At 35.7% G+C, this 26,674-nt stretch overlaps 1 long non-coding RNA gene across 1 annotated transcript in view, besides 1 other annotated feature; it reads right to left on the reverse strand.

Annotated features, from left to right (window-relative positions):
• Positions 1–16,838, reverse strand: part of LOC105369832 (uncharacterized) — a 38,018-nt gene extending 21,180 nt beyond the window's left edge. Inside the window, exon 1 of the long non-coding RNA XR_001749199.1 lies at positions 16,792–16,838. This is a non-coding gene — a long non-coding RNA (uncharacterized LOC105369832). The remainder of the gene's footprint in view (positions 1–16,791) is intronic.
• Positions 23,084–23,284: a silencer, noted in NCBI's record as "peak1815 fragment used in MPRA reporter construct". NCBI's record gives its function as "represses an SCP1 promoter by STARR-seq MPRAs in K562 erythroleukemia cells {active_cell/tissue: K562}" and the evidence as "EXISTENCE:reporter gene assay evidence [ECO:0000049][PMID:32103011]".

Raw genomic sequence — 26,674 nt, forward strand, 5'->3', positions numbered from 1 at the left:
CTTATTAATGACTTGGATGATGACATAGAAGGGTTGGTACTATTTTTAAATGGCACAAGAATGGAAGGGTTAGCTAAATATGTTAGATGACAGAAATAGAATTAAAATATATCTCTATAGGTTTGACTATTTGGCCCAAACTAATAGGATGGAATTTAGCAGAGACAAATGTAAAATCCTGCACTTCGGTTTAAACACTCAGTTGTGCAAATACAAGCCAACGTTGTCTCAGTTTAGTGCTACTTTATATGACAAAGTTTCAGGGATTTTACTGACAGAAATTTTGGTACAAGCCAAGTGCATGACTGGCTGCTGGAAAAGCTAATGTGATCTTAGGCTACCTTAGCTGAAGTGTGCTATTTACAATTCGCAGCCTGCCTAATTAGAAAGTGGTTTGAAGTGGCTATTAGTTTTGGTGTAACACATAGAACAAGAAAGAGGGCCTGCTGCACTTAGCATTGTTGTGCCATATCAGTGCCCTGTGATCAGCTCTAGGTACCACATTTAAGAGGGATATTGAAAAGCTGCAGCATCTGATGATGACTCCTGCCAATTGGAAGAATCTCCAGAAACCAAATGCTATGCTCCTATGCTGGACAGCTGAAAAAACTTGAAATGTTTAGGCTGGAGAAGGAAAGGCTTTCCTTGAATATTTTAATAACTGAATGTAGAAAATGTGCCCCATTCCCTATCTTGCTATTTCCACGAATAGGACCATCTGACTACCATTTTTATTGTCATTAAACATCTCTAATGCACACTATCTGGAGACATGAATCCTGTTCCTACTAAAGGAAAGCCCAAATAACCCTGATTTAGTTGTGACACATTTGGATGTCACATTTAGTTGCAACAACTCAGTTGTGTCGGGGCCAAGTGAAATTGTTGGTGATCTCACATTAATTTTATGGACTCGCCCCTGTGACCAATCTCCCCATTTCCCATTTCAGCATCTGAGCTCTTGTTTGTTCTCCATGCTTTGATCACCTTCCTGACGATGTTGCCACCTGCCTGCCTCCTGCCTGGGATTTCTGAGTTTGATCCTTCCGAAGGCTTCCTGTCACTGTGCTGGGACAGATATCATCTTGAGGACCTCCTTCATGGGTCACTGTTGACCCTGGAGACTGTGTTCCTCATGCCGGGCTCATGAACATATCTCATCTCCAGGTCCCATACACTCCCACGGTGGCTTTGCCGGTGCCTTCCTATGCTGATAATCTCTGTGACTCAGAAGGCTTAATTGATCATGTGAAGAGAAACTAAGTAGAGAAGTGTTTTTTTTTTTCTTTTATTCAGTTACAAGGAAGATGTTTCTAATAGTCCAAACGTTTTTAAAAACGGGATAAGCTGCCTTGTGAGAGGGGAAGTTCACTGTCACCAGGAACTTTTATAAAGCCTGGGAATAATTGGTCTCCAATGCCATGAAAAGATTTCTGCATTGTTAGCAAACTGAACTGGAGTGATTCTAAGGATAGAATATCTCAAGATTTAGTGTACAAAAAGTCAGCCAGACAACTTGTTTTAAAAAATGTAGAATTCCCAGAATTCAGTAAGTCCAGATTGAAGTACAAGAATCAGCATTTCAGACAAATCCACTCCTCTTCCCTCTCCACCCTAGGTGATTCCAATGCATGTGAATGTGAGTCATACTTTTTAAAACATTCTTCACAGAAGGGCAACCAGAGTCTCCTCCTACTCTGTATTAAGGGCTTCACTTATTTTTCTTAATTAAGATGTAACAGAGTTCTGTGGGAGTTATGGCATAATTATTAAGAACCTGGGAACAAAAACCAGGCTGCCAAGGTTCTTGCCTCTCCTACTTCATAAACCTCTGACTCTCCTACTTCATAAACCTCTCTCTGTCTTAATTTCCCCATCTACAAAATGGGATTTATATTAGTAATGACCTCATAGGGTTGTAATGAGGATTTAATCAATCAATTCATGTAAAGTGCTTAGAACAGCTCCCAGCTCACAGTAAATATTCAATATTATGATTACTATGAGGTAGTATTGTAGTTCCTTCATTGTACATTTAAAGAAATTGAGGCTCAAGGAAATAAAGTCAGTTTGCCTCAGATCCTTCAGCTAGTAATGACCTCAGTCCATTTGTCTCCAAAGATTATACATTATCTGCTCCTCCCAATTCTGTGATTCTATAATCGTATCAGCCAAAGCGATCACTATTGATAGTTTTGGGTAGAAACTGATTCCAAAGATGGCCATATGCATATGGGGGATAGAGAGATACCTATCTAAAGTTCCACCATGAATTATTTTACAAATAAGAAAACTGAGGCTTAGGGAGTAAATGATTTTGACAAGGATCCATATCAAGAAAGTGACAGACTCAAAATTTGGACCTATGCTTCTTCCACCAGCAAATTGGAGTTCTCTTTGCTATTTCACAATACCTACCCTGTGGCTATAACCTAGAGCCAGTTACTGACCACCTGGAATATTCTCCTCATTCTAGTAAACACAAATGCTTTAAAAACAAAGGAAACAACAAAAGTGGAATGCAGGCTGGAACTAGTTCTTGTGAAAACACACTGCCATCCACAAACATAGAAACAGCATACTTCCTAACAATTATATTTTTGTCACATAGCCACAGCCTGAAAGACTTATCTAACAATCAACATTTCAAGAGTAACCAAAGACAGCACTATAATGGAAGAGAGGAAGAATTTGACTCTAAAAGACAAATGTCATAAATTGGCGTAGAAAGAATTGGCTTTGGAAATGAGCATCTTTATGTTAGAGGCTCTTCCTCTGCCACTTTCTAGAAGTTGACTTGCCCTTTCTGAAATTCAGTTTCCTCATTTACAGAAATGGGGCTGATGTTGTTTACCTCACGGAGTATAAGGAGTGAAATGATAACAATGCAGGCAAGGCCCCTAGCACGATACTTGTCACACAAAAAGTGTTCAGTGATGGTGGCTGCCAATCGGAACCTCCAAGACTGTCATGATTGGGAAACAGTGTTTATCTCAAGATACCAGGGAACCCATATAAACATATGGGCAGGAAAATGGAAGTTCAGGACACTGTTTAAGAGGGTAGAGAGAAAAGTTCACAGTCTGCAAGCATTGCAGCACATCTTGTGATAGAACTCTTCTCAAGAAAGAATTTGTAGGACCTAAAATTACCATGGTTCTCTGTCCACTAAGGCATTTCTTTGTAAACATTCTTAGTATGGCTGTCTTAATGACATGTAATCATTTCATATAATCTCCTCTTGGACAGAGAGTTTGTTTTACATATCTTTCTATTCCTAATGCTATTTCAGTATCAATACTCAAAATAGGCTTTATTGAATTTATGAATAAAAGGTTTAATTAATTAATCAATTAATGTCATTTGGCCTACCACAAAGGAAACATAACATATACAAGTCCTTACAGTAAATGCACTCAGAGACTTCCTAATCTAGGGATCAGCAAACTTTCTCTATAAAGGGATAGATAGTAAATATTTTTGGTTTTGAGGGGAATATAGTCTCTGTCATGTACACTCAACTTTGCCATTGTAACAAGAAAATGGCCACAGGTAACTGCAAAAATGAATGAATGTGTCTGTGAGATTTATGAACACTAAAATTTAAATTTCACATAACTTTCATGTGGCATAAAATATTCTTTTTATGTTTTTCAACCATTTAAAAATGTAAAAATCAGTTCCTACAAAAATAAGTGGGCTGTAATTTGTTGATCCCCAGGTTCCAGTCCATGCTACAATCATCTGAGAATGTTTCCATACAGAGCTACTTCCAATTATTTCTGATAAGATTGAATCTAAAGTCACTTCTCCAAAACTACCAAATTGTTTTTTACATAGAACCAAATTCAAAATATATACAAATGGTAACTATATTCTTATTTTCAAATTCCTATGGTTAACCTGATATGCCTGCATCATAATACAAGCATGAGGGTCTTTATTGCAGATATGATTTAGGAAAGTGCACTCTGTTAACAGATCTAGTCCCTTGAACTTAAGCATTTCTTCCTCTAAATGATATTTTATTGGAAAATCAATGGTTATTCCATAAATATAAGGTTCATAAAATATGCATCAGGATCTTCCTGAAACTAAATTTCATGATATATATTTTGTTTATTTTAAACTCATACATATAATCTGAATGAACTAACCTTATATGTTTATAAAGTTCAGATAATTATCCACATTGCTATTTATGCTGCATTTCTGTCATCTCTGGCTCTGTCTCCTACAAAATGTCATGCGAGAAAAACAGGAACAGGATATCTGTGAGATTTAAATATCTCCTAATCTAGTTAGTTTATATATCAGCTATTGAAAGCAAAGTGAAAACCAAGACAATAAATAATGAGACAATCTTTAGCTATTTTAAAAACCAAACAAGTACAGTCTTATCACTTGTGTTCATTTTGATTTTAAATTTGCCAGGTGTGGTGGCACACACCTGTAGTCCCAGCTACTCAGAAGGCTGAGGCAGGAGAATCACTTGAACCAGGAGGCAGAGGTTGCAGTGAGCGGAGATCATGCCACTGCACTCCAGCCTGGGTGACAGAGTGAGACGTCGTTAAAAAGGAAAAAAAAAAAAAGCATTATTTATGGTTTGCTGTGGGAAAAGGCATACTCTTACAAGAGCTAATCTTAGTGCCTAAAATGTAGAAGAAGAGTAGGGAAAATTCACTTAAAATGATTGTTTGGAGCCCATCTCAACATCATCACTGACTCACCTGAACTTTGGGAAGTTAAAAACTCCCCAAGTCACAGTTTCCCCTTTGTTAACTTTTCATAGAAATTCTTTTGTTCATGTGCTGGTGATTCAGAGAATACTTTAATGCCACATCTGTATAAGAGCAGCAAAGCTGGGTGAAAGCCAAGGGAAAAAAAAAAAAGAGGCCCATTGACCAGAGGTTACATTTCTGCCCCAAGAGTCAGGAGTAATAATTCCAGATCTCTGCAGTTAAATAAGTCACCAGAGTCAGTCTGAGTGGCTATTGTTGCCTGTTGCTTACTCATTTTTAAATACTAATTCAAGTTGACCAAGCATATATGTGTATATATACATGTATATGTATGTTACACAACAATTGATACCTAAAATAACCCTAGTTATCTAGTGTTATAATATTTTTAGAGCTATGTCTTCCAAGACTTCCAAAAGTTCATAGAATGTTTATCTCCTTCTCTTGGTTCTTGTGACACTTTTAGTGTACCTGTTGGGTTTCTAGCATTTATTCTTTTCCCTAGAGTTTCTAACTTTCTAAGAGTTCTAAAATCTTAATGTTTTACATTATCTATTTGCCTTACAAATTAATATCAATTTTATTTTTTCTACTATTGTAATTATTTGAAGTAGTATGTGCTCAATGTAAAAACACAGAAAAACAAAAATTAATCATCTTCTCCAGCCTCCAACCAACCTCTTCTGGAGACATTAATATTTCATATTAATATTCCACTGTATAATATTCCACAAATAAATCTATTAAAATATTTCCAGCCATTCTCTAAATTGATAAACATTCATATTTTTCTCATGTTTTGCATCTCTTCTAAACCCCAACCAATTCCATCCAAAGATTATCAGTGTTGCCTTTTTGATATCTATCCTCTCTCACCTGTCTCTATATACATTGAGGTGTACACCAACCTATATACCCATGTATTAATTTTTGTTTACTTCATTTTTGACAAAATTTAAGCAAAATATATTATTTCATTAAAACTTACTTCGTTTCATTTAAAAATGAATTGCGGACATGCTTGCATATAAATAAATTGATCTTATTCTATTTTGATGGCTGCACAATAATCCGCAAAGTGATTGTATTAAGATATTTCCAGTCATTCTCTAACTTGAACATTCAGATTTTTTTCCATGTTTTCCACTGCAAACATCCATATGCATATTTTTTCATGCGCTTGTGCAAATATTCTCTAGGACATATTTCCAAAGAGGAATTTGCTGTCAAGTAACTTTCCTGACAGGTTAAATGCGTTCACTCCAAGTGTATGTGAATACTGATGCTATCAAATTCTTTAATGTTTCTCAATAGCATGAGGGGAAAATTATATTTTTTTACTGCTTCAAGCACTTTTTGACTACTAATGAGATTAATCATATTTTCAAATATTTATTGGCCACTTGACTTTATTATTATTTTTCAGTTAGGTTATCTTTTTAAATCAATGTATGGTAATGCTTTACATGTTTGAAATAGTAACACCTTCTCTGTCATTAAGTATCAAATATATTTCCTCTGAATCTCTCATTTGACTTTTTATGATGTAGTTCAATGTATAGAAAAATATTTTCTTTCATAGTCATCCATTTATCTCTTCCCTTAAGGTCTCTATTGTTCTTTCTTTCCTAAAGAACTTTTCATTTTTACTTTCTTTTGTAGCTAGCCCTTTAATGTATTTGTGGGGTCTTTTGTATAACACATCATGTAAGAACATAATTTTGTGTTTTCCAACTAGATTGGGAAATCAATTCTGCCACCACTATTTACTGAATATATCATTCTTTCCCTACTGAATTGAAATGGCATCTTCACATTAGGTTCCACTATATGCATGAACTCTCTAGTTAGTTCTGTGATCTACTTATCTACTTCTATACCAAAATCATACAGGTTTGATGATAATAGCTTTGAAACAAGTTTTGATATCTGGTTATGCCAAGACCCCATTACTAATATTATTCTAAAAATTGTTGGCAATTCTGCAACATTTATTCCAGATGAACTTCTGTTTTGTCCTATTTTTAACAACATGTGAAAATTCTGATTGAATAAAAGCTTTATATATTCATTTTTGAATGACTGATATTTTTATAATACTAATTTTTAAAATTCTGAAACAAGACATGTCTCTTAATTTATTTAAAACGTTCAATAATATTTTATAATTTTTGTGCAGGATATGTGCAGGATATGTCTGCACATATCCTGAAGCCTTCTTTTAAATACATTTCTTCCTTTCTAACTGATTATTAATATAAAGAAAAGCAATTTATTTGCTTTTCCAATAATCTTATACCTTCTACTTTATTAAATTATAATACCTTTAGTTATATCACTTGGATTATATGCAAATAATAATGTTCTATGTTGTCATGGTTCTATAGTGTCTTCTAGGCCCTGCTTATAATATTTAAACTTGTTCATGTCACAGTTATTTAATATTTGTTGTTTATTGTCTTGAATGCTTCTGCATAGCTGCTGCCCAAATAGATGATCCAACAAATGATTCACAAACAATAACAGGATGAAATTATGCAAATAAAGATGTTTGTCTCTTTTAATATTTATGCTTTTTTTTTCTTGTCTCATTGCTTTATTTAGAACCTCCAAAATATCACTTAATAATGAAGATAACTGAGTATCTTAGTCTCACTTTATCTTTTCAATTTTACTTTAAATTCTGGGGGATACATGTGCAGAATGTGCAGGTTTGTTACGTAGGTATGCTTGTGGCATGGTGGTTTGCTGCACCTACTGAGCCGTCCTCTATTTCCCTCCCCTCGCCCCCCACCCCACCAGGCCCCAGTGTGTGTTGTTTCCTTCCCTGTGTCCATATGTTTTCATTGTTCAACTCCCACTTATGAGTGTTTTATGTTCCTGTGTCAGTTTGCTGAGGATATGGCTTCCAGCTTCACCCATGTCCCTGCAAAGGACATTATCTCATTCTTTTTTATGGCTGCATAGTATTCCATGGTGTATATGTACCAGATTTTCATTATCTAGTCTATCACTGATGGGCATTTGGGTTGGTTCCACGTCTTTGCAATTGTAAATAGCGCTGCAATAAACATACATGTGCCTGTGTCTTTACAGTAGAATGATTTATATTCCCTTGGGTATATACTTAGTAATGGGATTGCTGTGTCAAGTGGTATTTCTGGTTCTAGATCCTTGAGGAAACACCATACTGTCTTCCACAATGGTTGAACTTATATTTACATTCCCACCAACAGTGTAAAAGCATTCCTGTTTCTCCACAGCCTCACCAGCATCTATTGTTTCTTGACTTTTTAATAATTGCCATTCTGTTAGTCCCACTTTTAATGATAAGAATTCTAGTATTTTATTGTTTATTATGATGCACGCTATTGAGATTTTTAATAGTTTTATTATGTGGTGATCATTTTCTCTGTCTCCATTTTACTTATCATTTTATTAGGAATGCAGCTAAATTTAAGTGATTTTTAAGACTCAATAAAATGATATTGCTTTATTCTTCTTTCATTTGAAAATGAGATGAATTATGTTGCTGCCCTTTTTCTTATTGAGCCTTCCTTTCATTCCTGGAGTGCAACTTGCTTTGTTTTGTTATTCCTTTAAAAAACTCTAAATTTGAGTTACTTATATGGATCTAGTTCTAAAATGTTTATACTGTCAGTATTATTTCCATATTAAGGTTATGCTAGCTAAGTAAAATGTTGTGTGTGCTTTCTCTGTGATCTTGAGTTATTGCTTTATGCATGACTCATCTCTTTTTGAATGTTACCTAGGACACAGGTATAAAACCATCTGGACCTAATACGTTTAAAAATACTGAGAGTTCTATAACAAACTTTTATAGCAACATTTCTAATTTTTTCTGCAGCCATTGGTCTGTTTAGGTTTTCTCTTTTATATGGTAAAATCTAGCATTTATGTTTTGCTTGATAAAACTTTTTCTTTCTAATTTATAACCAGACAGTTCCACATACTTTCTTAAAATTCTGTTAATATCAATGACATCTATAATTATATTTTCTTTATTATATCTAATATTACATGTTTTTCTTTGTTCATAAGTCAGAAATCCAGGAAGTTACCTGATATATTTTTAATAATAAAATATATCAAATAAAATGAGGAGATAAATAATAACTCTCTTAAAGATCCCATTCATATGAGATAGATAACTTGTTATAGTAATCAAAAATTTTTTTTTTCTTCCCTGACATAGTAAGAAATCAACCCAGGCAAGGATGGCACAATAGACTAGTTTAATTTCTTAACCCAATCAGGTAACCTTGGATTTTATTTAGTTATTTTGGCCAACTGGGGGTTGGTACAACATGTTTCCACTTCATGTTATTTATTATAGGTGAGGTGGAATAATCTAAGCTAAAAGAAAAGGCATCCTGGCCTTCTAAAACAGACTTGGGGAAGTATTATCTTCTTGATCAGGCCTGAGAAATCTTTTGCCATGGTTCTATAGTGTCTTATAGGCCCTACTTATAATACTTAAACTTGTTCTTGTCACAGTTATTCAATAATTGTTGTTCATTGTCTTGAAAGCTTCTGCATAGCTGCTTTTCAAATAGATGGTCCAACAAATGATTCACTAACGAAAACAGGATGAAATCATGCTGATTAAAAATGAAACCTCATCTTCATTAAAATAAACAACAGTAGTGAATACTTTTGCAATCTTCCTGCTGCTTTATCCGGATAAGAAGTTAGAATACAAATATTGATACAATCTTTGGAAAAAGAGTGATTGTTCTTTAGCCATCATAGCAAGTAGTCCTAAGAACAACTTTTAAATCCATCCAATTGATTAATGGCAATTTTGCCTCAATTAACATGCTTTTTAAAGCCAATCAATCCATAGCCATCCCTCACTTCTGAAAGTCAACCAATAAGGAACAGACTCACTCTAAAAAACATGCCTCTGAATGCCAACCAATCAATAAAAATCTAAACTGAATAATCATGCTTGAACAGATTATGTCAATCTACTTATGCCTCTTAAAATGTGCTAATCCTTGAGCCCCATGCTGTCCAAAAACCTTGTATATAATCAGTAATCTACTCTTCTCCAGGAGACTGTGTCTGAATTAAATAGTTCTCCCTTGCTATAAGCAATCAGCTCAGCTTTGTCTTTTAATTTCAGATATTAAGTCATAATCTCACCCCCTTTGACAATCAATCAAGATTTATTTAATGCTAACCACTGAAATTAAAAAACAAACAAAGACGGCAAGATAAGTTGGCTGCTCCTCTGTCAATTTAAAGAGTAAAATGCACAATATTTTAAAATGTGTTTAATGGCCCCAAATATCCTAAAATACGGTAAAGACACAGGAAATATATAGGAATATATAGATGAGAAATTATTGACTTGATATATAGCTGATTAAAATAATTCTAATCTGGCATATGTACAAGTTACTTATGTTTCATATTACCTATAATTCTTATAACGCTGACTTCTAGTACTACCTTAAATCCATTTTGAGACTAGACAGATGGGAAAGAAAAGAAGGGAGAAGGAAAGTAGGATCTGAAAGAGGAAAGACAATAAAGGAGAAAAAGTAAAAGGAAGATAAAAAATAAGTCTAGCATATTATTTATGGGAAAGACAAAGCTTCAACAAATCAGTAAACTAAACAGTGGCTGTTTGGTCCTCTCTTTCATTTGCCATACCCTCACTCCCAGCCTCTGTGGTACTCTCTGTATGCTCTCTTTGTCTTAACTGAGGATCTAAGGTGACCTCACTTGACTGTCAACTGACCCCCATAAGTAGGTAATAAAGCCACCATTCAAAAACATTTATTATGCACTCACAATGTGTCAGATCCTTTGCTGCATGTTATCCCTCACAGACAGATTCTCAATGACCCAAGGCACATAAAACTCAAAGTAATAAATTTATTGGTGAAATTTTAAGCTCTTGAGTACCTGGCAAGGTATATATCTGGGAGCAGGGAACCACACAAATAGCCATAATAGTGTTTGTGAACTTTGGTAAATCCTATAAGCCTTATTAAATTTCAATCTACTTCTAACTTTTCCAAGAACAAGTTCAGGGGGAATAAAATTATTCCTTTCACATTTCTCTGTGTCTGCATGTGAAGGGAGAAGTGAAGGGTGAGAGGGACTTTTATTTAAAAGTTTACCACAAGCATGGCAGAAAACAACAAATTTGGCTGATACAACCTTGGTTATTATTATCAGAAACAGAGCATAAGCTGAATGGGTCTCTATGGTCTCCTACTATTTTGCATTTTATGACTGTCATTATTCTCTGTGTATAAGAAAGGTTATAGCTGTTATATTATATTCCTTTTGACCTCAAGTTTCTTTACTATAAAGACTTAAATATCTATGCTTACATTAATACAAACACAGTTTCCTAATTCTATTTGCTAAGTTACTGCTGAACACAATACCCATTTGATGGTGAAGCTTTCTTCACCACGAAAATGTCAGTTTCCATTATCTTTACTACAAAATTAGCCCTAAAAATTATTTTTTAAACTGGAAAGGGAAGCAACTGAACACTGTATGGGATATAATTGTTGGATACATTTAATGTGTCTTGAATTGTTAAATTTATCTCCTTAACAAAAACATTTGCTTTCTAAAACTATATTTATTGAATAAATAAACTTTTTAATGTTTCCCTACTTTTTTCACAAAACAGACTGTGTAATTCCTTTAAATGGAAAGTCACTGTCTGAATCTCAAATCTTCCAGCAGTTCTCTCTCTATGTCTGACATTTTCATAAGCCAGAAGTTAAGGTCCACAAAAGAATCTCAGGCATTGCCTGGCATTCTTCTCTCCTTTAATTTCCTCCCTTCCTTCCTTTATGAGGCATTGGCAGAACTGGTTTAATGTGGCCTCTTACAAAACTAAACCACAGAAAACACTTTTTGTATTTGCATGTGTGCATATCTGTGTGTGTTATTGGTTTGTTTACTAACATATTTGTATTAGTTTTAAACGGAAATAACTTCATTAAATGGACATAGCTCCTATAAAATTGTAAGAGTAATTGAAGCCAGAAGTTGTCATCCCATCAAGTAAACAAGCTGTTTACATAACAATATTATTTCAGAGGGAACCAGATCATAGTATCTTTTTGACAATCTATTGTTTTGCACTGTCCCTCACTATATGACTATAGGCAATTCCTGAAGTTCTCTCTTTCTCAGTTTCCCCATCTGTAAAAGGAGATAATAATTACTCTATGATGTGCAATCGTTAGAACTACATGAGGTCACACACAACAATTATGCAAAGTTTTGCATGAAAATTTCAAAAACAAATACTCTTTTCCAGCATACATATGGCAAGCTTGGGGAAAGGGTATGCAGAGGAAGGGGATTAAAATAAAAAATTGAATAAGACTAATAAAATGAGCATTTTTTCATGTGTCTCTTGGCTGCATAAATGTCTTCATTTGAGAAGTGTCTGTTTATATCCTTCGCCCACTTGTCAATGGGGTTGTTTGTTTTTTTCTTGTAAATTTGTTTGAGTTCATTGTAGATTCTGGATATTAGCTGTTTGTCAGATGAGTAGATTGCAAAAATTTTCTCCCATTCTGTAGGTTGCCTGTTCACTCTGATGGTGGTTTCTTTTGCTGTGCAGAAGCTCTTTAGTTTAATTAGATCCCATTTGTCAATTTTGGCTTTTGTTGCCATTGCTTTTGATGTTTTAGACATGAAGTCCTTGCCCATGCCTATGTCCTGAATGGTAATGCCTAGGTTTTCTTCTAGGGTTTTTATGGTTTTAGGTCTAACATTTAAGTCTTTAATCCATCTTGAATTAATTTTTGTATAAGGTGTAAGGAAGGGATCCAGTCTCAGCTTTCTACATATGGCTAGCCAGTTTTCCCAGCACCGTTTGTTAAATAGGGAATCCTTTCCCCATTTCTTGTTTTTGTCAGGTTTGTCAAAGATCAGATAGTTATAGATGTGTGGTATTATTTCTGAGGGCTCTGTTCTGTTCCATTGGTCTATATCTCTGTTTTGGTACCAGTACCATGCTGTTTTGGTTACTGTAGCCTTGTAGTATAGTTTGAAGTCAGGTAGCGTGATGCCTCCAGCTTTGTTCTTTTGGCTTAGGATTGACTTGGCAATGCGGGCTCTTTTTTTGGCCATGAGAGAAATGGAAATCAAAACCACAATGAGATACCATCTCATGCCAGTTAGAATGGTGATCATTAAAAAGTCAGGAAACAACAGGTGCTGGAGAGGATGTGGAGAAATAGGAACACTTTTACACTGTTGGTGGGACTGTAAACTAGTTCAACCATTGTGGAAGTTAGTGTGGCGATTCCTCAGGGATCTAGAACTAGAAATACCATTTGACCCTGCCATCCCATTACTGGGTATATACCCAAAGGATTATAAATCATGCTGCTATAAAGACACATGCAAACGTATGTTTATTGTGGCATATTCACAATAGCAAAGACTTGGAACCAACCCAAATGTCCAACAATGATAGACTGGATTAAGAAAATGTGGCACATATACACCATGGAATACTATGCAGCCATAAAAAATGATGAGTTCACGTCCATTGTAGGGACATGGATGAAGTTGGAAACCATCATTCTCAGCAAAGTATTGCAAGGACAGAAAACCAAACACCGCATGTTCTCACTCATAGGTGGGAATTGAACAATGAGAACACTTGGACACAGGAAGGGGAACATCAAACACCGGGGCCTGTTGTGGGGTGGGGGGAGGGGGGAGGGATAGCATTAGGAGATATACCTAATGTAAATGAGCAGTTAATGGTTGCAGCACACCAGCACGGCACATGTATACATATGTAACAAACCTGCACATTGTGCACATGTACCCTAGAACTTAAAGTATTATAAATATATATATATATATTAAATTAAATTAAAATAAAATTTTTAAAAAAGACTAATAAAATGCACAGTAGCTTCTCTCCTAAGCAGCCTAGAAAATAAGTTACACAACTACTATTTTGTTAACACTATTAGTGAGGAGGAATCCAGACCACGGGTCTAAGAATTCAAAGACAATTTGCCTTAAGTCAATTTGTTACACCAGACATACATACAATAAGCATTTCAAGAGATATATTCTGTGTATTCCTTGGTTTCTAAGAGACACTTTATTTTATAAAACCCTCCCACCAGTAATAAATTTTTTTCTTATTTTTACTTCATTTTGTTATTTTCAACTTTATTATTAAACCAAATGCTCTGTTATGAAATTCTGCCTACAAAATTCCATGGTGTCTATATCAGCTTCCACTGCATCTTTTTACGGTCAAATCTGTGTCTATGTTAGCATTTCTATTATACATTTGTTTTCTAGGAGTTTAAAGATCACCCATAAAAATTAACTAAGGCTGAAATGGCAGACAGCTCAGAAGCACATTTTGTTTTTACCAACTTTCAATAAATTCATATGGCTGTTTCTAAATTCTTATATATCAGGCTAAAGTAAAAGAAATCCTGGCCAACAGGTGACACTTATTTGGGCTAATTCACTGCAAAAACAATGGGATATTTTTGGTTTTGTATTTTTGTTTTTTAATGCAATTATTCCATGACTGGCTCTCATCTCTCCTCCAAGTCCCTCAGCCCCCTCCTGGCTAGATGCCTGGACACATTGGTAGCCGGCCTGACTGACACCTGCAGCCCAACACTTCTGGCCATGAGTTGCATAGCTAACATTTCATGCTGTCATAGGACTGTGAAGTTTTCTGGGCGCTGCCAACAGAATCATCACACTGCAAATTTCTTTGGCTCAGCCCTGCTCCTCCTCTGTCCCAACTGAAGATATGCCCCTTTGGGTATTGTAGTCACATCCATAAATCCCAGGAGGCAGCATGTGAAAAACTACTACTTACCCCTATAAGCAGAGCTGTCTTTACTCTGACAAATCAGGCCATCACTTTGAACTGTTGGGAAAGAATTCTCCATGGGTCTCTCGTGTTTCTGCATGTCTTGCAAATGAGTCATTGACTGATCTTTATTCAAAACTACCTTTTCAAGGAGTTTGTATGGTGAACAGACTTGGAAGATACAGATAATGCCTCCCTTTGGTGAAAAGGGCAGGCATGCTCACTGTCCAGCATAATAAAGGTAATGTTTCCCAGCAAATCGAAGGAAAGGCATGCTTACTGCCCATTAAGGACTTAGGCTCCTAAACTTAAAGTTCCTCTCCAGCTTTTGTGAGTATCCTCTGGCCCTCTTCCTAGTCACTCTGTGGGATTGGAGTTAAGGGAACCTGCACATAAATGCTGACTCTCTGGCAACTGCTATTGCTGTTAGTAATAATTTCCTTCATTTCTGACCCAGAAGTCTCATGTATTGTAACAGCATTCATGAAACTGTTGTAGGCTTTGCAAGTAGGGTGAAACTCAGCCTCTTCACAGTTCTCATTATGAACATACAGGCTGTCTCTTTTACTAAAATGTAAGCTCCTTGAAAGCTAAAATCCTTTATTTGTCACTGTATCTCCAAAACTTACACCAATACCTGCTAAATAAATGCTATTCCCTGAGGATAAAAGGCTTAATGAAGGAAGGGAGACTTGAGCTGAACTCTGATTTTTTCCCTTGCATCCTCTACTCTGCTGTGAGGTATTGAAAATACCATTCAGAAGCAGAATCAAAGCCTCTCCAGAAACACTGTTGTCTTTTAGATTGCCAGTAGAAACGTACGGTATACTCTTACTTCTTTGCTTCTAATAGATGACAGAATATAGCCTCAGACATTCTGTGTCCTCTCAGTTAGAATGAGCGTGAGATTTTTCGTCTTCAGACAGTCTCTGCTTCTTAAATGTTTCTGCTCGGTCTCCTCAGATGGCAGAATTGGGGCAGCCATCAAGTGAACAGTGGGTCATTCACACCTCACCTAAAAACTTGTCTGTCAAGGGATAATCAGCTCCTATTACTTATTTTTGAATATTTTTCCCCCAAATTTAGAAAAGATTCCTTCCCACTGTTCTTTGGTCTGAATTTATGACAATGCCTAATTTATTACACTGCTTTCAGAGGAGTATTTTTTCAATTTTTTAAATTTTACTTTATGTTCCAGGATACATGTGCAGAGGGAGAGTATTAGGACAAATACCTGATGCATGCAGGACTTAAAACCTAGATGACAGGTAGATTGGTGCAGCAAACCACCATAGCACATGTATACCTACATAACACGAGATTTTTATGTTCTTATAAATAGCTTAGGAAGTTTAAAGCTAGTTTGCAGTTTCGTTTAAAACTAAAAGGGCCAGTGTGCTATGTTCCAGAGCAGCAGTTATATTGGGCAAAGCCAAGAGAGGATAGTGTGGTTCATGACAGCCAAAAGAAAGAAAATCCTGCTTTGGCTTGAGCAGGTGCTCTGGTGTGGAGCAGCAGGAAAGCCTATGTGGGAAGTTTCTTTTTCTTTTCTTTCTTTCTTTCTTTTTTTTTTTTTTTTTTTGAGATGGAGTCTTGCTCTGTTGCCCAGGCTGGAGTGCAGTGGCGTGGCCTCCGCTCACTGCCAGCTCCGCCTCCCCAGTTCACGCCATTCTTCTGCCTCAGCCTACCGAGTAGCTGGGACTACAGGTGCCCGCCACCATGCCTGGCTAATTTTTTGTATTTTTTAGTAGAGACAGGGTTTCACCGTGCTAGCCAGGATGCTCTCGATCTCCTGACCTCGTGATCCACCCACCTCGGCCTCCCAAAGTGCTGGGATTACAGGCATGAGCCACCGTGCCTGGCCCCATGTGGGAAGTTTCTGTCTCAACTCTCAAATCTGCTGGATTTATACTGTTATTGGATAAAGAAGTTCCTTAAAATTAATGATGTAGAAAGCGTAAAACTTGTCAATATTTCTCAAGCCTTCCATTTTTACTTTTGCCATTATTTTCAAATGTCTAATGTGGAAAACCTTAAATGTTCACACCTCACTTCCAACTTACAAAAAGGTGACAGTAATACACTAATAGCTGGGAGGCCAAGAATACCCTGGTGCAATGAAAACAAAATGTTTTCAAAACTAGGACCCCATCCCAGTCCAACAGTTGTACTTACCAGTCTCATGTTTTAAATCATTACAGATTCCAACTTCAGAAGGGCAAATACCTCATGAATTAGCTCTAAATTAAAACAGAAAAAGTTTGACATGGATTTAGTGTTGAAGACAGAGAAGGATTAATAGTGCTTGGCCTAAAGAAAGCTCAAGCCCAGGCAGGTGGCAGGCAGAAATCCACTCAGTAGAGCCAACACACCTCAGCCAGGCCCTGTTTACCCAACCTCTGGCCTCCTCTTCAACAGACACTGCCAACCGAGCAAACCAAGCTAAATGGTATGGTGGTTTTCTAATGAGGCTAAGTAGGAACAAGAAGGAACGAAGTAAACTTTTCCTTGCGGCCAAAGCAAGTCTGATTATGAGCTCAGACCTCCCGAGGCGAGAGGCTTATGTACTCACCAGCTGCTGTTTCACTGGCCTTCACACGAAGGCTATGGTGTGGCCATTCACGAAGTGCTCTTAAAAGTGGTGCCAGGAGTTCCCTTGAAATGGTTTTTCATTCTGGGCAGTGGCGCAATCTCTGGGTGTGAAATCACGTCTGAGGTTTACAAGCTATTGCTGACATCAATGAAATGCAACATTTGTTTTGCTTCTTTCAGTGTCCTATAGGCATACTGGCACTCATTAAATGCTTCCTAAAAATATCATTTGGCAAACATTCATGTTTTGTTCATAAAGACTTATGTACATCATGGGGAGGGTCATGTTAGAAGGCTACTATAAAAATATAAGCACATGCATTCATCAAATCAAATTGTTTCATTTTAATTAATATGCAGGGTTTTTTTCTCTCTGTCCAGAAGCACAGCTTATATTCCAAAGGACTCCTTTTGGAGCTTCCGTGTGCCTTCAGATGAGTCCGCACCTCTCTCAACTTGAGGCAAAGTTACACGTCTGTGGGTCAGGTTTCCTAAGATAACATTTGAAACATAAAGAGCAGGCCACTTAAGAATACTTCAGCAGGATGTTTCACCAATTAATTCCTCAGTTAAACAATTAAACAAGCTTGCCTACATGAGATTCCCATTGCCATGAGACTCAAATGCTGTCTTTTCAGGGTATAAGTAAAGCACAAGAATTGGCAAGACCTGTTATTTGAACCAGACTAAAGAGTAAACTAATGAATGTCTTGTTTAACTCAAGCCAACATTTACTAAACACCTGTCATTACAACCCTGGGATCCATAAGAGAAGACATCAGTAGAGGAGAAAGCAGTTCCTCATTGCTCTATTTGCAGCCTCATCCCAACCCCAGGCAGCAGTTAAAGAGAGAACAGGAGTAAAAATTAACAGGAAATATAAATAAGAAGAAAAATGGTGACTGGTTGAAGAATTGTTGGCAGAAAACCTGCATTGACTGACTTTTCCACCCTCTCATGTGCACCCAAGTTTAAAGCAGAAAAATTATGTGAAGTAATCGAGCTATCTGCCTGCTATGGTTTGAGTGGTTGTCCCCTCCAAAACTCATGTTGAAATTTCATTTCAACAGTATTAAGAGGTGGGACCTTTGAGAAGTGATTAGGCCATAAGGGTTCCTACCTCATGGGTGAGATTACTGCCATTCTAAAAAGACATGTTTGGTCCCCTTTTGTCTCTTTGCCCTTCTACCTTCTGCCAATGTGAAGACAAAGCCTTCCTCTCCTCAGCATCATCTTGGCATCGGAATCACCAAACCTGCCAGTGCCTTGATATTGGACTTTCCAGACTCTAGAACTGTGAGCAAATAAATTTTTGTTCATTGTACATTACCAAATCTTAGGTATTCTGTCAAAGAAGCCCAAAACAGATTGACACACTGCCTCAGAGGAACTCTGGCTTTCAAGTAGGGCACTAAAGCCACATAATAGAGTCCTCATTGTTTTGGCAAGTCTTGTGGAGGTGGGAGTAGAGGATTCTGCCTTCCTGTCCCAAGCCTGCAGTAAAGTCAAATGGCCAGCAAGCTGTCTACACTACACTGAGCTCAGTAAACTCTCTCATTCAGGACATAGGCTAGTAAAGTCAGGTAAACAACAAAGCAGTAATCTATATGAATGAACCTAATTCTTCATTCACAAATACGAATATAAAACCCAGAACTATCAGACATTTAAGAAAACCCATCAAAACCAAGGAGAAGGACAAAGACAACCAAGTAGAACTGAACCCAAAGGAAACAAAAATAATTTCACTTCAATCAAGAGAATTTTAAATCACTGTTACTAAAGATATTGGAAGAGATTTTAAAACACATTTTTAGAAATCTCATAAAGGAGTAATGAGAAAGAAAGAAAAAGTTCTTGGAAAATAATAATGTGACAGCCAAAATAAAACTTGCAAAAGAAAGTTGGAATAAAACATTTAAGGCCATCTCCCAGTAAATATAAAAGGCATAATTATTTTAAAAATGAGAGAAAAACAAAAAGACAAAGAAAAAATCAAGGATGTCCAATATCTACTTAATAAGAGTTCCAGAAAAAGAAAAAGGAAAAGGAAAACAAAGCAAAGGAAATAATGAAAGAGTTAACAGCATAAACTTTGTGAAAACTAAAAACAGGTATTCAAATTGAAAGGTCTCACTGTTTGAAGAGCAGAATAAATAAAATAATACCCGCATCAGCGGTGGCTCATGCCTGTAATCTCATCACTTTGGGAGGCTGAGGCAGGCAGATCATGAGGTCAGGAGTTTAAGACCAGCCTGATCAATATGGTGAAACCCCGTCTCTACTAAAAATACAAAAATTAGCCGGGCGTGGCAGCGCCTGCCTGTAATCTCTGCTACTCAGGAGGCTGAGGCAGGAGAATCACTTGAATCTGGGGGTTAGAGGTTGCAGTGAGGCGAGATCTGTGCCACTGCACTCCAGCTTGGAAGACAGAGCAAGACTTCATCTAAAAACTAATAATAATAATAACAATAATAATAATACCCACATATTGGCTCATACTTACAAAATTCAGAACAGCAAGAAAAGAAATAGCCAAAAAGTATCCACAAAGAAGTTGACTACAAGGAAGCAAAAATCAGATTCATAACACATTTCTCATTAGCCATACTGAATATTGTATACTACTGAAACAATGTCTTTATGAATATTACAGGAAATTATTTTCAACTTAGAATTCTGTATCTAGCCAAAGTTTCAGTCAAAATATGAAAAAATTATAAAGACATTATTGTACATACAAATAATGAGCAAATTCATATTCCTTTCTATAAAAAGTTACTTGGGCCAGTCATAGTGGCTCATGGTTGTAATCCCAGCACTTTGGGAGGTTGAGGCAGGCAGATCACCTGAAGTCAGGAGTTCAAGACCAAAATAGTGGAACCCCGTCTCTACTAAAAATATAAAATTAGCTGGGCATAGTGGCGCATGACTGTAATCTCAGCTACTCGGAAGGCTGAGGCAGGAGAATTGCTTGAACCTGGAAGGCAGAGGTTGCAGTGAGCTGAGATCGCGCCATTGCACTCCAACCTGGGCAACAAGAGTGAAACTCCGTCTCAAAAAAAAAAAAAAAAGTTACTTAATGCACTACAGCTAAACTAAAATGGAAACCACAAAAGGGAAGACATAAAATCCAAGAGAATCCATAATAATGCTTCTGCAGCAGGACTAGGATGCATATCCGTGCATCCAACAAATAGTACAATTAAGAACTTGAATTATCTTAGGCATATAGTTATTTTTAAAGCCCCCATTCCTCCTATAAACACACACATACATGCATACACACATACCAATACACAAAAGGCATTACAAACTCTAAGAAGAACAAAAATTACACAAGAAAATTTGGATCCAAGTAAGAAACATATTAAAATGTCATTGTTTACAGCAACAGGCAACTGAGAAAAGAGAATTTATTTGACTTTCATGCTTGGAACATCTTCCTCCAAACAATACAGATTTAAAGATGTAAAATGTTATTTATTTTTCTGAATTTTTACATGTAGAAATATTTACATAATCATCACAATTTAAGTGCTTCTTCTTATTTTCCATTTTAAGTTCAATTTATAGGCAAAGCATGGAAGCCATAATTTTAGTAAAGGGAAAGAATGTAACTGTTGGAAAATCTGACCATGTAAATTGAGGGTACTGTTGGCAGATTTTGAAAGAGAAGAGGGGAAAGAGAAATGGAGATGAATATATAAGCAAACTAAAGTCTAATAAAGTTCTCATTTTATATAATTGGAAGTAAAGAAAATGTTCTGACATTCCCCAGGAGACAATGTAAAGGTATTATTTAAAGTTATAAAGATAGCCAGTACAAGTACCAAAAATAAAAATCAGGAAAGAAGAAATGAATGAAAAATAGTCAGAGAAGGGAGTGATTAGACACAAATTTAACTAGAAGATAACTAACTAGAGGTGTAAGCATATTATTTAACATGTGAAAGAGAAGTCAAACCCAGAAATGGTCAAACATAATTTTGTTTGACGCGGCAATTCTCCAAGTACAGCCTAGGACCCCAGACAAAGTCAAAACTATTTTTATAATAATATCATTTTTATTATATTTGCCTTTTTATTTGTCACTTTGACATCATTGTACAGTGGAGGATTCTACAGACTACATGATGTATGATATCTCAACAGATTGAAGCCTACTATCTTTTATTAATCAGGCATTAAAGAGATGTGCAAAAATACAAAAGAATGCCACTCTTCTAATTATGACTGACATTTTAAAATACATTTTAGTAAATTATGGTTTTCAATGTTAATAGGTAATTAGTGTGTTATGGTTTTTTATTAATATTTTATAATTTTTTAGTTTAAATTTCTCATATGATGTATATTGATAAATTAGCAAAAGCTTTTTGGGTTCTTCAATAATTTCTTAGAATCTAAAAGAGTCCTGATGGGAGTGACATCAGCAAGATGCTGGAATAGGAGGTTCCAGACCACCTCTCCTCAGAAACTCTGATGTTGGCAACCACCCATGAAGAGCATTTTTACTTTACTATTGTTATCCTATTCCAAAAGCAACACAACTTGATACTGAGAGAGGACCCCTTTGACCACAACATTCCCATGGGAAAAAGTGAGAGTGTGGTGAGCACTCACCCTCCTTGGCCTTGTGGGATGGAGTTGACCAAGAGGCCCACTTCTATGCTGCCCACAAGAACAGTGAGGAGATCAGTACAGCTAAATCATCTAGGGACAGCTAGGAGCCCAGAGAAGAGACAGAAGCACACAGCAACTGGTGCACAGATTTTAACATGCAGCCACACATCCTGCAAACTTGCTAACTGCCTCTACCAAGAGGCCTGCCCATGAACCCTGCAGGAAACCTCACCTGAAGACATCTCCCACTAACTATGTCCTTCAAATACCCATGGGTGGCACCCTGTGCATCTTCACTGCAACCCATGCAAAGTCCCATAGAAAGCACACAAATATCAACAGCAGGGGCAGATCTTAGCCACCAGCTTGACTCTGCTAGTTTTGGAGAAAGGATACAACCTCAGGGCACTGACCTAAGGAATGCCTCAGGGCACTGCCCTAGGGAAAACAGAAGGCTCTCAGCAGCAAGTCTGGCCTTACAGGATCAAAAGAAGGCATACAATCCTAACACATACCCCTTCAGATGGAACAAGAGAAATGGAGTGGGTGCATTGATAGAAGTCTGAGAGATCACTGGAATCTCAGGCCAAGTTCACTGTGGAAGATCTTTCTATCCAGAAGCCAGCCAGTAAAGACAGGAAAAGGTGATTCCTTCTTCAAATGTTAGGACAGCAAGGCAAGGCTTCAAGGAACACAAAGAATTAAGAAAATATAGCACCATCAAAGAAACAAAGTAAAACTCCAGTGGCTATCTCCAAAGAAATAAAGATTCTGAACTGCCTGACAAAGAATTTTAAAAAAAAAAGTCTTAAAAAGGCTCAGTGAGCTACAACGAAACAATGTCATGGAAACAATACAATAACAAAATGGGAAGTTCAACAAAGAGATAGACACCATTTTTTTAAAAAAACAGAAATTCTGGAGCTGAAGAATATGTCTGAAATAAAAAATTCAATAGAAAGCTTCAACAGCAGACTCAATCCAACAGAAAAAAGAATCAGGAAACTCAAAGCAAATTATTTGAAATTATCCAGTCAGGGAAACAAAAAGAAAAAAGAATGGAAAAGAATGAAGAAAGCTTATGGGACATGTAAGACACCATCAAGCAAACAAACCTACACATCATGGAATTCCAGAGGAGCAGAGAAAGGAAAAGAGGCAGAAATCTTATTTGAAGAAATAATGACAGAAAATTTCCAAGTCTGAAGAGGCAATTGAACATCTAGATCCAAGAGGCCTAAAGAATTCCAATAGGTTGAGCATAAAGAGGTCTTCACAGAGACACATTACAATCAAATTGTCAAAAGTCAAAGATAAAGAGAGAATTTGGAAAGAAGCAAGAAAAAAGTGACTTGTCACATATAAGGAAACCCACATAAGACTGTCAGCAGATTTCTCAAGAGAAATGCTGAAGGCCAGGAGAAAGTGGATAGATACCTTCAAAGTGAAAAAACAAACAAACAAACAAAACAAAACTCCTGCTAACTAAGAATAATAAACCCAGCAAATCTATCCTTCAGGAATGGAGAGATAGAATTTCCCAGACAAACAAAAGGTGATGAAGTTCATCACCACCAGATCCGCCTTATAGAAAATGCTGAAGGGAATCCTTCAAGTTGAAATAAAAGAATGCTAACAACATGAAGGCATATGAAGGTATGAAAATCACCAGCATAAGTAAATATATGGTTAAATTCACAATACTCTAATACTGAAATGGTGGTGTGAAAATCACTGTTAGCTCTAGTGTAAAAGTTTAAAGTCATAAATATTGAAATAACTATAGGTGGAATAATTTGTTAATGAGTGCATAATATAAAAAGATGTAAGTTGTGACAGCAATAATATAACATGTGAAGGAGGGAATAAACATGTAGAATTTTTGTATGTAATCAAAATTAAATTGATATCAGCTTCAAATAGATTACTGTAACTATAAGAGGTTTTATGTAAGCCTTGTGGTACTTACAAAGAAACAAAAACCTGTAGTAGATACATGAAGGATTAAAACAAAGGAATAAAAGCTACCGCTACAAAAAAAAAATCAAATCACAAAGATAGACAGCAAGAGAAGAAAAGAACAAAGGAACTACAAAACTATCAGAAAACAATTTTTTTAAATGGCAATAGTTAGTCCTCTCTAGCAATAATTACTTTAAGGTTAAATTGACCAATCTGAAGAAATAGAGTAACTGAATAGGTTAAATTTTTTTTAAATATCAAACTATATGCTGCCTTAAAAAAAAGGCTCACTTTAGTTTTAATGACACCATATGCTGAAATGAAGAGATTAAAATGTATATTCCTTGCCAATGGTAACCAAAAGAGAGCAGGGGTAGCTATACTTACATTAGGCAAAATAGACCTGAAGTCAAAAACTGTCACAAGAGACAAAATATAGTCACTATAATGATAAAGAAATCAATTCACCAAGAGGTATAGCATTGGTGTGTGTGTGTGTGTGTGTGTGTGTGTATATATATATATATACACATACACATATACATATATATATATATATATCTCACCAACATCAGGGCACATAAATATATAAAGCAAACACTGGTAGATCTGAAGAGAGAAATAGACAGCAATACAATAATTGTATATAAGACTTCAATATGCCACTTTCAACAACAGATGCATCATCCAGACAGAAAATCAATAGGGAAACATTGGACTTCAACTACACTTTAGGCCAAATGGAGCTGACATATACATAAGAACATTCTATCCAACGGCAACAGAATACACATTATTTTCAAGTGCACATGAAATATTTTCCAGAATAGGTCATATATTAGGCCAAAAAATAAGTGGTAACAAATTTAAGAACATTGAAATCATATCAATCATATCAAGTATCTTTTCTGACCACATAGATATGAAACTAGAAATCAATAACAGGAGAAAATTTGGAAAAATTACAAATATGTGGAAACTAAGCAACACACTCCTGAACAACAAATGGGTCAAAAAAGAAATAAAAAAGAGAAACAAAAAAAAATATTGAAACAAAGGAAAATGTAAATGCAACCTACCAAAATGTATGGGAGGTAGCAAAACAGTTCTAAGAGGAAAGTTTATAGTGATAAACTTCTCCCTTAAGAAAAAAAAAAAAAATCTCAAATAAAAAGACTTTACTTCTCAAGGACCCAGAAAAAGAAGAGCAAACTAAGATCAAAGTTAGCAGAAAGAAGCAAATAAAGCAGAAAAAAAAATAAAATACAAACTAGAAACACAACAGAAAAAAATCAGTGAAAGTAAGAGTTAACAACTGATAGAAAAGATAAAATTGACACACCTTTAGCCAAATTAAGAAAAAGAAGAGAAAAATCAAATACATAGAATTGCAAGTAAAACAGAAGACATTACAATTGATACCACAGAAATAAAAAGATTCATAAGAGACTACTACGAACAATTAAATGCCAACAAGGTGGATAAGTAGAAGAAATGGACAAAATTCTAGACACAAAGAACCTACCAAGACTGAAATCTGAAGAAGTGGAAAATGTGAATAAACCAATAATGAGTAAAGAGATTCAATCAGTAATCAAACATCTCCCAACAAAGAAAAACCTAGGACCAAATAAGTTCACTACTGACTTCTACCAAACATTTTTTTAAAAAATTAATGCCAATCCCTCTCAAACTCTTCTAAAATACTGAAGAGGAAGGAATACTTCCAAACTCATTTTATGAGGCCAGCATTACCCTGATACCAAAGCCAGATAAGTAGACTAGAAAAGAAAATTAGGGCCTAATATCCTTGATGAATACAGATGCAAAAATCCTCACTAAATACTAGCAAACTAATTTCAACTGCACATTAAAAAGATAATACATTATGATCAAGTGGCACTTATCCCTTGGATTAAAGGATGGTTCAACATATGAAAATCAATTAATGTGCATACCACATTAACAGAACAAAGGATTTAAAAATCACAATTGTCTTAAGAGATGCAGAAAAAGTGTTGGACAATTTTAAGTGTTGGACATTTTAAAAAAAGTGTTGGACAATTTGAAGTGTTGGACATTTTAAAAATGTTCATGACAAAAAACTCTCCAATAGAAGGAAACTCACCAGGAATAGAATGAGGAATAGAGGGAATAGAAGAGAAATTAACAAAACAAAATCCAGGAATAGAAGGAAATTGGCAAAACAAAATCACAGCTATACATGAAAAGCCCACATCGAATGCCATACTCAATAGTAAAAACTGAAAGTGTTTCCTCCAAGATCAGGCACACGACAAGATTGCCCACTCTTGCCACTTCTATTCAAGATAGTACTGGAAATTCTAGCCAGAGCACCTAGGCAAAAAAAGTGAACAAAAGACACTCAAATCAGAAAGGAAGAAATAAAATTGTCTCTATTGGCAGTTGACACAATCTTATTTATGGAAAACTATAAGTGTCCATTAAAAAACTGTTAGAACTAATACATGAATTCAGTAAAGTTACAGGATACAAAATAAACATACAAAAATCTGCTGTGTTTCTATATCTGCCAATAAACTATCCAAAAGAGAAATTGACAAAAATATTATATTTACATAAGTATCAAAAGAATTAAAATTTTAGGAATAAATTTAACTAAGGAGATGAAAACTGGTACATTAAAATCTATAAAACATTAATAAAAGTAGGCACAAATAAATAGAAAGATATCCCATTTTCATGGATTAGAAGAATTAATGTTATTAAAATATCTCTACTACCCAAAGTGATCCTATAGATTTAGTGCAATCTCTATTAAAATTCCAATCAACAGATTCAATGCATTTCACAGAAATAGAAAAAACAATCCTAAAATTTATATGGAATACCAAAA

Source organism: Homo sapiens, chromosome 12 (genome assembly GCF_000001405.40).
Source record: "Homo sapiens chromosome 12, GRCh38.p14 Primary Assembly".
In the NCBI taxonomy this organism is placed as follows: Eukaryota; Metazoa; Chordata; class Mammalia; order Primates; family Hominidae; genus Homo; species Homo sapiens.